Here is a 12,725-nt window from a genome sequence, read left to right on the forward strand (position 1 = left end):
AGAGATCTGAATAGTGGTTACCTTTTGCAGGGGCTGTTGCCTGGGAAGAAGCTTGAGGGAGCCTTCTGGGGAGCTGGAAGTGTTGAACATCTTGATTTGGGTGGTAGTTACCAAAGATATACATATTTTAAGAATTCACCCATCTGTACACTTAAGATTTATGTAAAATATACTTTAATAAAGACATAACAAAACTCAAGGGCAAGTGCTAGAAGAATAGAAATAGGATGAGTGGGAAACAGCAAATAAAATTTGGAAATTTCAAACAAAGGCAGGAAAGAAAGGAAGGGAATGCAGAGGAAGGAAGTAGGGAAATAAAATTAAATACATCTGTAATCATAAGGGTTTAGATTTCTCTGTTACGAGAGAGCTTCATAGATGTGTAGGTATAAAACTTGCACTACTACAAGAGATAAATACAAAGCAGCACAGGTTAATGCTAAAGAGATACAAAAATAGTTTTGTTAGCAAATGGCTAACAAAAAGCCAGAGCAATATTAATCAGCCAGTTATCATTCAAATGCATTAAATGGGACAAAGCATTATATTTCATATTAATAAAAGGCATAATCCACTAAGAAAATAGAATTAAAGAACTTTTATACACCAGAAAGCTGGGCCTTGAAATATGTAAAGCATTCACAGTCATAGTGAAAGACTTAACATGCCTCTTTGAAATCAGTAGATGAAATAGGCAAAAGTAAGGACTTACAAGATTTAACAGTTATTAATCACAAGCTTGATTTCTGTTCTAATTTGTTTATATACAGATACACACAATTTAAATTACATCACACGATACATATTCTGTAACTTTTCTCTAGCTTAGCATCGTATCCTGGTGGTCTTTCCATGTACGTGAGTGTTGTGCTGTCTTATTTTTTTTTTTTTAGCGATACACAGCACTCTGTAGTAAGAAGGCCTGTTGCACATGAATCCATTTACCTATCTAAACATTTGGTTTGTCAGTTTTACATTGTTACAAGCATACTTGTCTGAGTATTTTATAAACATGTAAGTAATTTTTATTACAGAAAATCTTTTCCTACCTTTCCATTTTGACTTGGTTTTGAAAACAGCCATTGAAGTCACTGAAAATCTGATTGGAAGTCTCCGATACAAGGCTATATAGGGAATGCTTAAGCTAATACACAAATACTGGTTTGAAAGAAAGCCTCAGGTTTTTATTCTTGTGCCCCATTTTCAAATCTGTGGTCTGTTATCTCATTCTGTCTAGAATTCTGCTTTCCTGACTAAAAGACTTTCTGCCTTGATAGCAGTTCGTTCACCCATACTTTGTCTTTCTCTAAATGGCCAGAATTTAGAATAATTATATTCTGTATTTTAGAGGACCTGTGAATCTGTGCTTTTAAAATATTGGTTGTCAGGTTGCCATTTATGGCATTGCAGTACATACTCTACTGAAAAATTCTCTTAATTTCAAAGACTTATACCTCCAAAACTGAAACCTTTTATTGTCATGAGCAGACTTAATGAATTTTGGAATTCTAGAATTTAAAAAATTCTTTATATTATAATTTTGGAGATCTTTACTTTAGATTTTTCTTTTCAAACATCTAAGCTCATTCAATAAAAAAAAGCAACTAAACCTAGAGAGAATCTAAGTGCTAAACATGATTGTGTAACATTTACTCTTCATTGTCACTATATTTGTGCTTGACTGTGTTTTTAAAAATTTAATATTTTGAGACTTAGGCTTGTAAAGACTAAATGTTTATTTCAGTGGCATTTGTGGCGTTCCACTTTACCTCTGCTTTCTTGAGCAGCTATGTGAATTCATGATGCGAGTTGTGACTGTGTGCCATCATGCTCTTTTTCGGTAGGCCGCATCTACAAGTGCTTGTTTACTGGCTCCGTGAGCTCACTACTGACGCTGCCATTAGATATGCTGTCAACGTGAGTATTGAACCTCTGTGACGAATGTTGCATGATGTAGATGATGCTTGCTTTTTTCCTTGCATATTTATTTTATTATAATTTGTAAATTCTTTTGTTTTGAGAACAATAATTTATGTCTATTACACTAACAGTTATAGCTGCAGTAGAAGTAGCTGATAAATGTAAATGACACTTCTTTTAAAACATACCTGTTTTATGGGACTGTTTTGTAATGATGGGATGACTTTTCTTTCTTTCTTTTTTTTTTTTTTGAGATGGAGTCTTGTTCTGTTGTCCAGGCTGGAGTATAATGGTGCGATCTCGGCTCACTGCAACCTCCGCCTCCTGAGTTCAAGCGATTCTCTTGCCTCAGCCTCCAGAGTAGCTGGGATTACAGGCACTCGCCAGCATGCCTGGCTAATTTTTGTATTTTTAGTAGAGACAGGGTTTCACCATGTTGGTCACTCTGGTCTCGAACTCCTGACCTCAGGTGATCCACCCGCTTCGGGCTCCCAAAGTGCTGGGATTACAGGCGTGAGCCACCGCGCCCGTCCGGGATGACTTTTTAAATAGGCTGTCACGCAGTTTGAGATACATACTACTGTCTTATGTTCACAAAAGTTTTTTTGTTTTGTTTTTTTAAATGGAGCCTCGCTCTATTACCTGGGGTAGGGTGCAGTGGTGTGATCTCTGCTCACTGCAACTTCTGCCTTCTGGGTCTCCTACTTCAGCCTCCTGAATAGCTGGGATTACAAGCATGTGGCAGCAAGCCAGGCTAATATTTTGTATTTTTAGTAGAGATGGGGTTTCACCATGTTAGCCAGGCTCGTCTCAAACTCCTAACCTCAAGTAATCTGCCTGCCTCGGCCTCTCAAAGTGCTGGGGTTACAGGCATGAGTCACTGTGCTTGCCCAAGAGTTCGTTTTAACATGTGTTTTTAACATACACATTTGAACTCAAATTTATTTTTTAAATGTTTTCCATGATTATTAGAATATAAATGCTAAGAACTTGCCTGTAGTTACTTTACTATATCTTGATATTAAGCATTGTTGCTTGCCTTATATTGGCAGGCTTCTTTTTCCCTCTCACCTGATAGGCTTGAGGGTCACCTGAATTGCTTTCATTAGACTACTCATTGACTCCAGAGGACCACTGGAAGCCTAGTGGGGCTAGTCAAAATAAATTATAAACATGGCTTGGTTTTAGCTGTCTTTTACAGTTTGAAAAATTGAGCCAGTTTTTCTGATAGCAGTTGTGACCAAACTACTTTTTTTCTGAGTAATGTTTTACACTCTCTATAGAATTTTTTTTCTGTGAAATTTTACTTTAAATTTCCTTAATGTCTTACCAGTTTCTATGTATTCTGTAGCTCAGTAATTGAGGTCATGTCTAGGTGCACTGTATCAGTTATCTATTGCTGCAAAACAAACTGTCCCAAACCTTAGTGGCTTAAAACAGCTACCATTTTATTTGCTTATAATTCTGGGGTCAGCAGTTTGGGCTGGGCTCAGCTGAGCTTTTCATCTATTGGGCTTGCCTAGGTCACTCAGCTGTTTTACTGGGACTTAATGATCTAAGATGGTTTGTCTGAGATGCCTTGGTTCTTCTCTTTGTGGCCTCTTATCTTCTAAAAGGCTAGTAGGGCTTCTTTACATGGTAGTCTCAGGGCAGCATTCTAAAAGGGCAAGAGAAGAAGCTTGCAGGCCCTCCTCTGGGCTCTGGAACTTGGGCAGCATCGCCTCTGTCCAGGATTCACAAAACCAGCCCAGATTAAAGGAGTAAGGAAAAAGGACTCCAGAGTTTGTCACCAAATGTTTAAAATCTGTAACAAACAGTTAGGATTATTGCTGATAGCAAGGAAGATGTAAAGGGGATATTTTGGTCCCAACCTTTCAGAATTTAGTAGCCTGGAGAGTTCCTTACTAAGGTGGTAGTTAGGATTCCTCTTTTGATTCAGGACATATTGCAGACTATATTTTCCTAGAGGCCATACCAGTTTAGTTTAAGTTTGGAGCTGCTGGGTCAAGGTCTACCAGATTGACCCTTCTCAGGTTTTCTATGGAGGAAAAAAGTGATTCCATTAAAATAATGGATTTTCCAATGGCTAAGAGTCCAGAGGCTTTTGAGTTATCTGTGAATAATTCTGAAATCATAAACATGGACTAGGGAAGGAAAGATAAGCCTCTTAAGAAAGGAAAAGGACAAAATGGTCTTCAGTATCATGATATTTGATGCATTTTCTTGTATGATTACTAAAGGAACCATACTTTGCCTTTCTGAATTTGTTGAGAAACTAATACACTTTTGGTATGATTGCAGTTAGCATCAAAACTTGGTTTGCTTTCTAAATGAAAAATTTCTTTTTTTTTGAGATGGAGTCTCACTCTGTACCCATGCTGGAGTGCGGTGGCTCAATCTTGGCTTACTGCAACCCCCCGCCTCCTGGGTTCAAGCGATTATCCTGCCTCAGCCTCCCGAGTAGCTGGAATTATAGGTGCACACCATCATGCCTGGCTAATTTTTGTATTTTTAGTACAGATGGGGTTTCACCATGTTGGCCAGGCTGGTCTCAACTCCTGACCTCAAGTGATCCACCTGCCTTGGCCTCCCAAAGTGCTGGGATTACAGGCATGAGCTACTGCACCTGGCCAAGTGACAAACTTCTATAAAATTTATAATAGACCTCTTTGTCTTACATATGGCATACTGAATATCTCTCAACCTTCATTTCTTTATGTTGTCATTAGACTTATCTGGAGGAGCTTCTCCTCTTTTCTGATTTGATGATTCTATTAATTTGTGTGGGTTCAGGTGTCAGCTAATCAAGTTTTTAAACATGTGTAAAATAAAGATACAGAAACTCTTAGAGTTGGACAGAGTTTTTAACCTTTGGTAAATTACATAAATTTAATGCATGGCCTTTGTCAAGTGTTAGACTGCTTTTGTCTTTTTTTGCGTGCTGCCTTTCTGTTTCTAGGCCATTTTCAAAAGATAGGCTATGGATAGGTAATTTCCATATAGTTCTGATGGTATTTGATGCCTAAATAAAATACATAATACAAGTATGTAAATATGTATAGGTTCTCTTGCAAGTAGAATTTCACCATAATCACAAATAGTTCTTTTGGAGAAACTTGAGATTTTCATCCAAAAAATTATGATTTATTCTTCTGGCTGTTTTTTTTTTTTCTGAGACTTTAGTATAAGAAAATTTTTTACCTTTGTTTTCCTAATTTTAAGTCTTCTTTGGAGTAATTATATGTACTTTTTTTTTTAATAGGGAAAATTTGTTGGCAGATTGTTTGCAGGGTTGTTTTGTGGTGACGTGCACACTGTGTGCATTCATCAGCCTGGTGTGGTTGAGAGAGCAGATAGTCCATGGGGGAGCACCAATTTGGTTGGAGCATGCTGCCCCACCGTTCAATGCTGCGGGGCATCACCAAAATGAGGTAACTCCCCTACCCCAAAATTGATTTTACTTAGGTAGGTCATGAGAATTATTGTTTCTCTCTGAGACTCAAACTCTTGACTTCCATGTCCCTCATAAACATTCTTTTGTTATTACAAAGGAGGGCAGCGGAAAGGTTTGGGTGAAGATGAAGAGAGATGTGAAAAATCAAGAAAGTGGTATTACGACTTTGCCTCTTAATTTTCTAGTTAGAGTGGGAACAGCGTTGGGGGGTATACTGAAGTCCATGTACACAGTCTTACCCACTGAGCAGAAATTTGAAAACATTTCCTCAAGTGTTTGATGACAGAGCATGTATGTATATATGTATGTACATTTTTTTAAAAATGTATTTTCATCCCTGATGCTGTCAATAAAGACAAAGGCTGTCTTATAAAAAGGACTACAGAATGTTTTTAAGAGAGCCAGATTTGTTAACCATTTTCTATAATGCTTTGTGAACTGTTAATCCGCTAAATTATACTGAATGAATATGTACACGTGTTATGAAGTGAGGTTGTGTTCTTATATACTAAAATTGATCCCACATCAGATACATTTAAAAAAGATGTCTTTGAAAGGTTTTGTTTTTAAAAAGAATTTAGTAGAGTTTATATTTGTTTTCTAGTTTTTTGTTTGTTTTGGTTTTTTGAGATTGGCTCTTGCTCTGTCACTCAGGCTGGAGGGCAGTGGCATGATCACACCTAACTGCAGCCTCACAACCTCTGGGCTCAAGAGATCCTCCTTCCTCAGCCTCCTGAGTAGCTGGGACTATAGGCGCAAACCACCATGCCTGGCTAACTTTTTAATTTAAGTACAGATAGGGTCTTGCTGTGCTGGCCAGGCTGGTCTTGAACTCTTGAGCTCAAGCAATCTGCCTGCCTCAGCCTCCCAAAGTGCTAGGATTACAGGCATGAGCCACTACACCTGGCCTAGGTTTTTTTTTTTTTTTTTTTTTTTTTTTTAGCAGGAATAATGTGATTTGGAAACAGAGCAAAACAGACAAGTGGATCTAAATTTCTGGGCTTTTCTGTGATTTTAGGCTCCAGCAGGAGGAAATGGTGCAGAAAATGTTGCTGCTGATCAGCCTGCTAACCCACCAGCTGAGAACGCAGTGGTGGGGGAAAACCCTGATGCCCAGGATGACCAGGCAGAAGAGGAGGAGGAGGACAATGAGGAGGAAGATGACGCTGGTGTGGAGGATGCGGCAGATGCTAATAACGGAGCCCAGGGTAATGGCTGCTTGTGTGTCCTCACTCTTCAGCACTGCAAATCTGTTCTCAACTTGCATTGAGGAAAAGGGCTGGCGTTTTCAAATTTTTAATGTTGTGAAGTTCTATTTCTAACTTATTTTTACTTTATTTTGGCAAACTGGCATTTATGGATGTACATATGCATAAATATGTTTTTTTCTATGAAACAGGGCATGTTTTGTGTTTTAAAATCCTTTTTACACAGGCCTTTTTTTTTTTTTTGGGAGACTGAGTCTCGCTCTGTCGCCCAGGCTGGAGTGCAGTGGCGCTATCTCGGCTCACTGCAAGCTCCGCCTCCTGGGTTCACGCCATTCTCCGGCCTCAGCCTCCCGAGTAGCTGGGACAACAGGCGCTCGCCACCACGCCCGGCTAATATTTTGTATTTTTAGTAGAGACGGGGTTTCACCGTGTTACCAGTATGGTCTCGATCTCCTGACCTTGTGAGCCGCCCATCTCGGCCTCCAAAGTGCTGGGATTACAGGCGTGAGCCACTGCGCCCGGCCTACACAGGACTTTTTTAATAGGATAGATAGGAAGAAACTATTTTTTAAGTTGGATTAGGTACTACTTTTTTTAAATAAAGGACTTTGATACAGATTCACCTCATTCATTTGCTTCTCTCTTTCCATGTCCCTTGAGTCAGTGCAATTTCTAAGATTGAAAAAGAATCTTGAAGTTTATACTGCAGACAAGATGCCATCTAAATAAATCAACGTCTCGTTTTCTAGCAGTGTAAACTCTAGAATGTAAAATAAGATCCAAGACAGGAGATGGGTAGATCACCTGAGGTCAGGAGTTTGAGACCAGCTTGGCCAACATGGTGAAACCCCATCTCTCCTAAAAATACAAAAATTAGCTGGGTGTGGTGGCGCACGCCTGTAATCCCATCTACTTGGGAGGCTGAGATAGGAGAATCACTTGAACCCAGGAGGCAGAGGTTGCAGGGAGCTGAGATCATGCCACTGCACTCCAGCCTGGGTGACACAGCAAGATTCCGTCTCAAGAAAAAAAAAAAAAGATCCAAGACAGGGTCTACCAGTCAGCTGTTGGTCACTCACTTCCCCTCCTCCCTCCCACCACAGTTTTCCTGTCAAGCTTTGCACTATCTCTAGTTCTACTTGGCAGCCTGATATTTTTGTGTCTCTTTGTGTCACGTACTCTGTTAGACACTGAGCATATAACTGTGACCAAAACATTAGGCTGCTGCATTCCTGGAGTTTCTGGTTTAGTGAAAAAGTAGGAAATACACGTCATGATGAGTGTTGTGCGGGTTGCTCTGAGGATGCTGTTGGGGAGAGACCTATTAATTTACCTTTTTTTTTGAGACAAGGTTTTGCCTTTGAGCCAAGGTCACCTGGGAGGGAGTACAGTGGCAGGAACACAGCTCACTGCAGCCTTGACCTTTTGGGCTCAAGTGATCCTCCCACCTCAGCTCCCCAAGTAGCTGGGACCACAGATGTGTGCCATCATGCCCAGCTAATTTAGTTTTTGTTTTTGTTTTCTTGGTAGAGATGGGTTCTCCCTGTTGTCCTGGCTGGTCTTGAACTCCTGGGCTCAAGTGATCCTCCTGCCTCAGCCTCCCAAAGTGCTGAGATTATAGGCATGAGCCATTGTGCCCAGCCTAGACCTATTTTGAATAAGGTTTTCCAGGTAGCTCAGAGTACCTGGTATTTGAGCTGAGACCTCTGAAGGATGAGAAAAAGCGACTTGTGTAATGGTAACAGGGGGCCTTTGCAGGGGGAGGTCAGAGGCTCTGAGAATACAGCCTGCTGCTACCCTTGAGTCTGGCCGTTATTTCTCTCTCTTGATCTAATACAGTAGCTCCTAACTATTCTTTCTCCTTCCGTTCTTGCTCCACATAGTTCATATTACTCTGCTGCCTTTAAATCTTTTAGTAGTTTTCCCATTACTAAAGAATAAAATCCAGACTCCACATTCCTCTTGTATGATCTGATTTCTGTCTTTCTACTACCCATATCATTAGTCAGAATGTCCTTAGTTCCCTGGCTTCCTTACTTTTCTCAAATCTGCCAGATTCTTTCCTGGCTTAGAGCTATTGAATTCCTCTCTTTCAGATAACCTTATTTATTCCTTTTCTAGCATTTATCTCAATCTAGGATTACCTTACTTTATATGTATTATTTATTTATATGTATGTTTTTATTCTTATTTGTTCCCTGACAAGCAAATACTCAGTATGGAAATGTGGCTTAGCTTCTCAACAACAGCTTACAAAGTACTAAATTTTACTATTTTTAGTGCATTCTATTTTTTTTATTATTTATTATTTTTACTTCAAGTAATCTTTAAATTGCAATTATATTTTCAGATGACATGAATTGGAATGCTTTAGAATGGGACCGAGCTGCTGAAGAGCTTACATGGGAAAGAGTAAGACCTTTTTCTGTCAAGTATCCTGGTGTTTTAATCCTAAAATATATTTTAAACTTTGGTGTATTTAGATGTATACACTAATGTTATCGTTACAGTTGATGAAAAGTTACTAGAATTTTCATTCCTAGTGAAAGTTAAGTGATATATTGTTTATGGTCAAAATATTGTGATGTTGGTGGCTTTTTTTGGTCTTACAAAATCTTGCTCCATTTAGGAAATGTTTTACCTGAAATTGTGGACTTTTGAAAAACAAAATAACAATTTAAATTTAAGTAGTATTTTCATGCTTCAGTTGACAAAATAATACAGTTTTATTATGAAGTAATCTTAATTAGCTGTATATCTTGAGTAACAAATCCAAGACGGAATTGTTTTAGACTTTATAAATCATGTAATTTTGAATAAAAGGAGACCCAAAATATAAAACTCTCATTCAGAAACAGAATTTTTTTTATTTTCTGAAAATGATAGGAAGTATTGGAAAGTATAGGAAGTGGGTGAGGACTGTGTTTAAAGATATTGAAAGGAAAATGAGGCTTTTCATAAATTAGAATAGAAAGTTCTGTTGCATCTTAAATTAATGCTTATCGTTTTTGTTTATTTTAGATGCTAGGACTTGATGGATCACTAGTTTTTCTGGTAAGTAAAACTAATTTTTTTTTTTTTTTTTTGAGACGGAATCTCACTCTGTCACCCAGGCTGGACTGCAGTGGCGTGATCTTGGCTCACTGCAACCTCCGTCTCCTGGGTTCATGCCATTCTCCTGCCTCAGCTTTCCAGGTAGCTGGGACTACAGGTGCCCGCCACCATGCCCGGCTAATTTTTTGTATTTTTAGTAGAGATGGGGTTTCACCATGTTAGCCAGGATGGTCTCGATCTCCTGACCTCGTGATCTGCCCGCCTCGGCCTCCCCAAGTGCTGGGATTACAGGCGTGAGCCACCGCGCCCGGCCAAAACTAATTCTTTCTAGTAACAGAATTGGAGTTGTCTTAGTGATTCAGAAACTTCACATTTATAGTATGTAGTAAAGGTCAAGATGCCCTTTGGCTTTTAATTACTTTATATGTTGAAGATTGTATGTTTAGTGTGCTGAAAATATTGAAAAAGCATAAAGGTAATATTTTTAAAAAATTGTTAAATATTTGATTTTTAGCAAAGAAAATAAACCCCAAAGTTAATGGTAGTTAAAAAGAACTTGGTCTTCTTTTAAAGTTTCATCTTGCAGTGTTTATTGCCTGTACTGGTGGAAGCAAAGCAGTTTTCCCTATTTTCACAGTGAGACACCCCAGGCTGATGTTAGGTTTTCCTGTTTGCTGAACCCCACCTGTCTTTACCTAGGAACTTTGCCATATTAGTAAAGATTGCAAGTCTAAGGTGAGGAGCAATTCTTTAAAGAACTTGTTCTTTAAAGAAGAAATGGTGCTGTTTTCAGGTCCTGTAATATGAAGTTATTTGCCATTTGGGATTTTTAAATAGCTTAAGATGACTTTGGCTGCAGGTAGCAGAACCCCTGCTGGTTGGAACATTAATTTAACAGGAAGTCCAGAGGAAGAATGGGCTTGAGGTTGCTTGATCCATAGGCCCAACAATGTCATCAGAGACCGAGATATCTCCATCTGTCTCCTTTGCTGTCCTCAGTGTTGGCCTTCTCCTCAGGCTGGCTCCAGATGTTAACCAGAAGAGGATGTTGAATTTAGCAGTTGTGTAGGTTTTTAGGAACATATCTGGTATAATTCCACAGTTTAGTGGGAATGTGATATTAATGAGCTTCTAGTCATGGTTTGATCACAGTCAGTATAGAAAGCATTATTTGGCCACATACTGATTTATATTCCTTACCCCATCAGTTCCTCATAAATGAAGGACAGAAGTCGTTGAGGTAGTGGTGGTGACTCAAACTCATTTGAATTATTGGAAAAACCTTCGACAGGATGAATTCATTATTTTAGTAAAAAATATTTAATATGTATAGTGTGCCAGCTATTGTGCTAGGCACTGGGGAATTCAGTGCCTATGAATTCAATGCCTATGAATGAGACAGGGTCCCTGTTCTCAAAGATGCTCTATAGTGTGGTAGAGAGAAATGAACATGTAAACAAGGAATGTTTTGGAGTCTCAGTGACAAAAAGTGTGCATAGGACACAAGAGGGGCACAAAAGAGGGTTTGATTAGGTCTTTCTTAGTGGAATGGAGTTTGTCAGCAGGAGATTTTCCGCGAAGATAACAGAGGTTGAAGTATAAAATGTGTTGGGGATAGGGAAAATTTAGGAGCCCTTAAGGCAGAGAGGTTGAAAAAATTGAGCCCACATGGTGAGAAGAAATGTAGTAGTCATTCACAAACTAATTACCCTTCTTTCTGGTTGGATTTGTGGAAGATTAGGGGACCTGAACAGAGAAATCCTTTTTTTAGACAAAAGATCTTTGGACGGATCATTTAACTTGATGGTTGCGGGGAAGGTTGTGGGCATGAATGAATGGACTTGGGCAGTCTGGTCAGTGTCAGCATGGGGCATAGCTAAGGTGTGTGTAACATGGCTGAAGGAATAGGCAGATAGCTGTCGCCTTAGAGGTGACAGTATGTAACTGTGGGAGGTGACCAGATGGTCAGGTGAGACAGGACAAAGAAAGTCAGGGCACCATAGGGAGTGGAGGGACCAGAGGAGATCAAGCTAGAGTTTTCCAAAGGAGTGGTAGCCAGGCAATAGTGACCTTGTAGGTGTCAAGAAGGCAGATTGGACGTTGAAAGAAACACTGCAGTTGACGTTAACATGATGTTTACAATTAATTTGGCTTTCAAATTTTTCTCCATTTGAAATTTTTAGTGTCATTTGATTTAAATGAAATCTGGTGGTTATGAAAATCTATGTAATTTGTCGTAGATTATTTCTAAAAAGGAAGTGTTTATAAATGAATTTGTTTTTTGTACATGTAACATTTTTGAGTTTTATTAGGCTTAGTTGTATGAGCTATCTAATGAAAAATGAAAGTTACATATTATGTCTAGATTGAAATCCCAAAACAATAGAGGGAAAATTTCAATCTTAGCTGTTTTTACTATTTGGCTCTAGCTAAATAAGTGGAATAGTCCAATTAAACATACATTAAGTATGAATTGAATATGCTTTATTGATGCTTTTTTCCTTTAGGAACATGTCTTCTGGGTGGTATCTTTAAATACACTGTTCATTCTTGTTTTTGGTAAGTTGTGTTTGTGCTTTTTTTTTTTATAGTATTATGGTAGGAATTTAGTTTTGTAGGAGCCTTGTTATAGGTTTATTATTATTTTTTAACATAGAAATAAATACTAAGCAGTATATGAAAATAGTTTCAGATACAAACCCTGTATAGATAGGCCCCAGACAGACAGATACTTTCCTAAGCAGCAGTGACTGCAGTTACCTACCTATCTCTCCCTCTGTTGGGCATTTCTGGGTTTTTTTTTTGTAGAAGCTGGTTTTAGACCGACTTGAAAATATACAGTTTCCCATTTCTGGAATTAGTTTTATGCTGATTGTGTGTGCTCTTCCCTATGGTGGAATATCTTGTTTTCATCTGTCAAAATCCTGACCATTGCCTTCTAGAGATCTTGACTTGGGAGCTGTTACCAGAGCTGAGTGTAGGCTTGTGGGAAGACAGTAAGCCTTCCCCAAATGTGAGCACCCCTTAGAACCAGATTCCAGCACATACAAAATCACTTCCAAGCACTTCTGCGAGGGCAGCTGTGAGGA

At 38.8% G+C, this 12,725-nt stretch overlaps 1 protein-coding gene across 11 annotated transcripts in view; it reads left to right on the forward strand.

The window, feature by feature from the left end:
• MARCHF6 (membrane associated ring-CH-type finger 6) overlaps positions 1-12,725 on the forward strand; it is an 86,694-nt gene that overhangs the window by 31,455 nt on the left and 42,514 nt on the right. For 9 of the 11 annotated variants that reach the window (XR_925577.3, NM_005885.4, NM_001270660.2 and 6 more), the window contains 6 exons: positions 1,845-1,917; positions 5,183-5,351; positions 6,393-6,582; positions 8,933-8,994; positions 9,604-9,636; positions 12,144-12,195. Coding sequence is in view for 10 of the 11 variants with exons in the window: in NM_005885.4 (NP_005876.2) it covers positions 1,845-1,917; positions 5,183-5,351; positions 6,393-6,582; positions 8,933-8,994; positions 9,604-9,636; positions 12,144-12,195 (579 nt within the window). In the remaining variant the exon portion in view is untranslated. The remainder of the gene's footprint in view (positions 1-1,844; positions 1,918-5,182; positions 5,352-6,392; positions 6,583-8,932; positions 8,995-9,603; positions 9,637-12,143; positions 12,196-12,725) is intronic. The other 2 variants (XM_047416611.1, XM_047416613.1) reach the window with 1 other exon arrangement.

Source organism: Homo sapiens, chromosome 5, assembly GCF_000001405.40.
Source record: "Homo sapiens chromosome 5, GRCh38.p14 Primary Assembly".
Classification (NCBI taxonomy): Eukaryota; Metazoa; Chordata; class Mammalia; order Primates; family Hominidae; genus Homo; species Homo sapiens.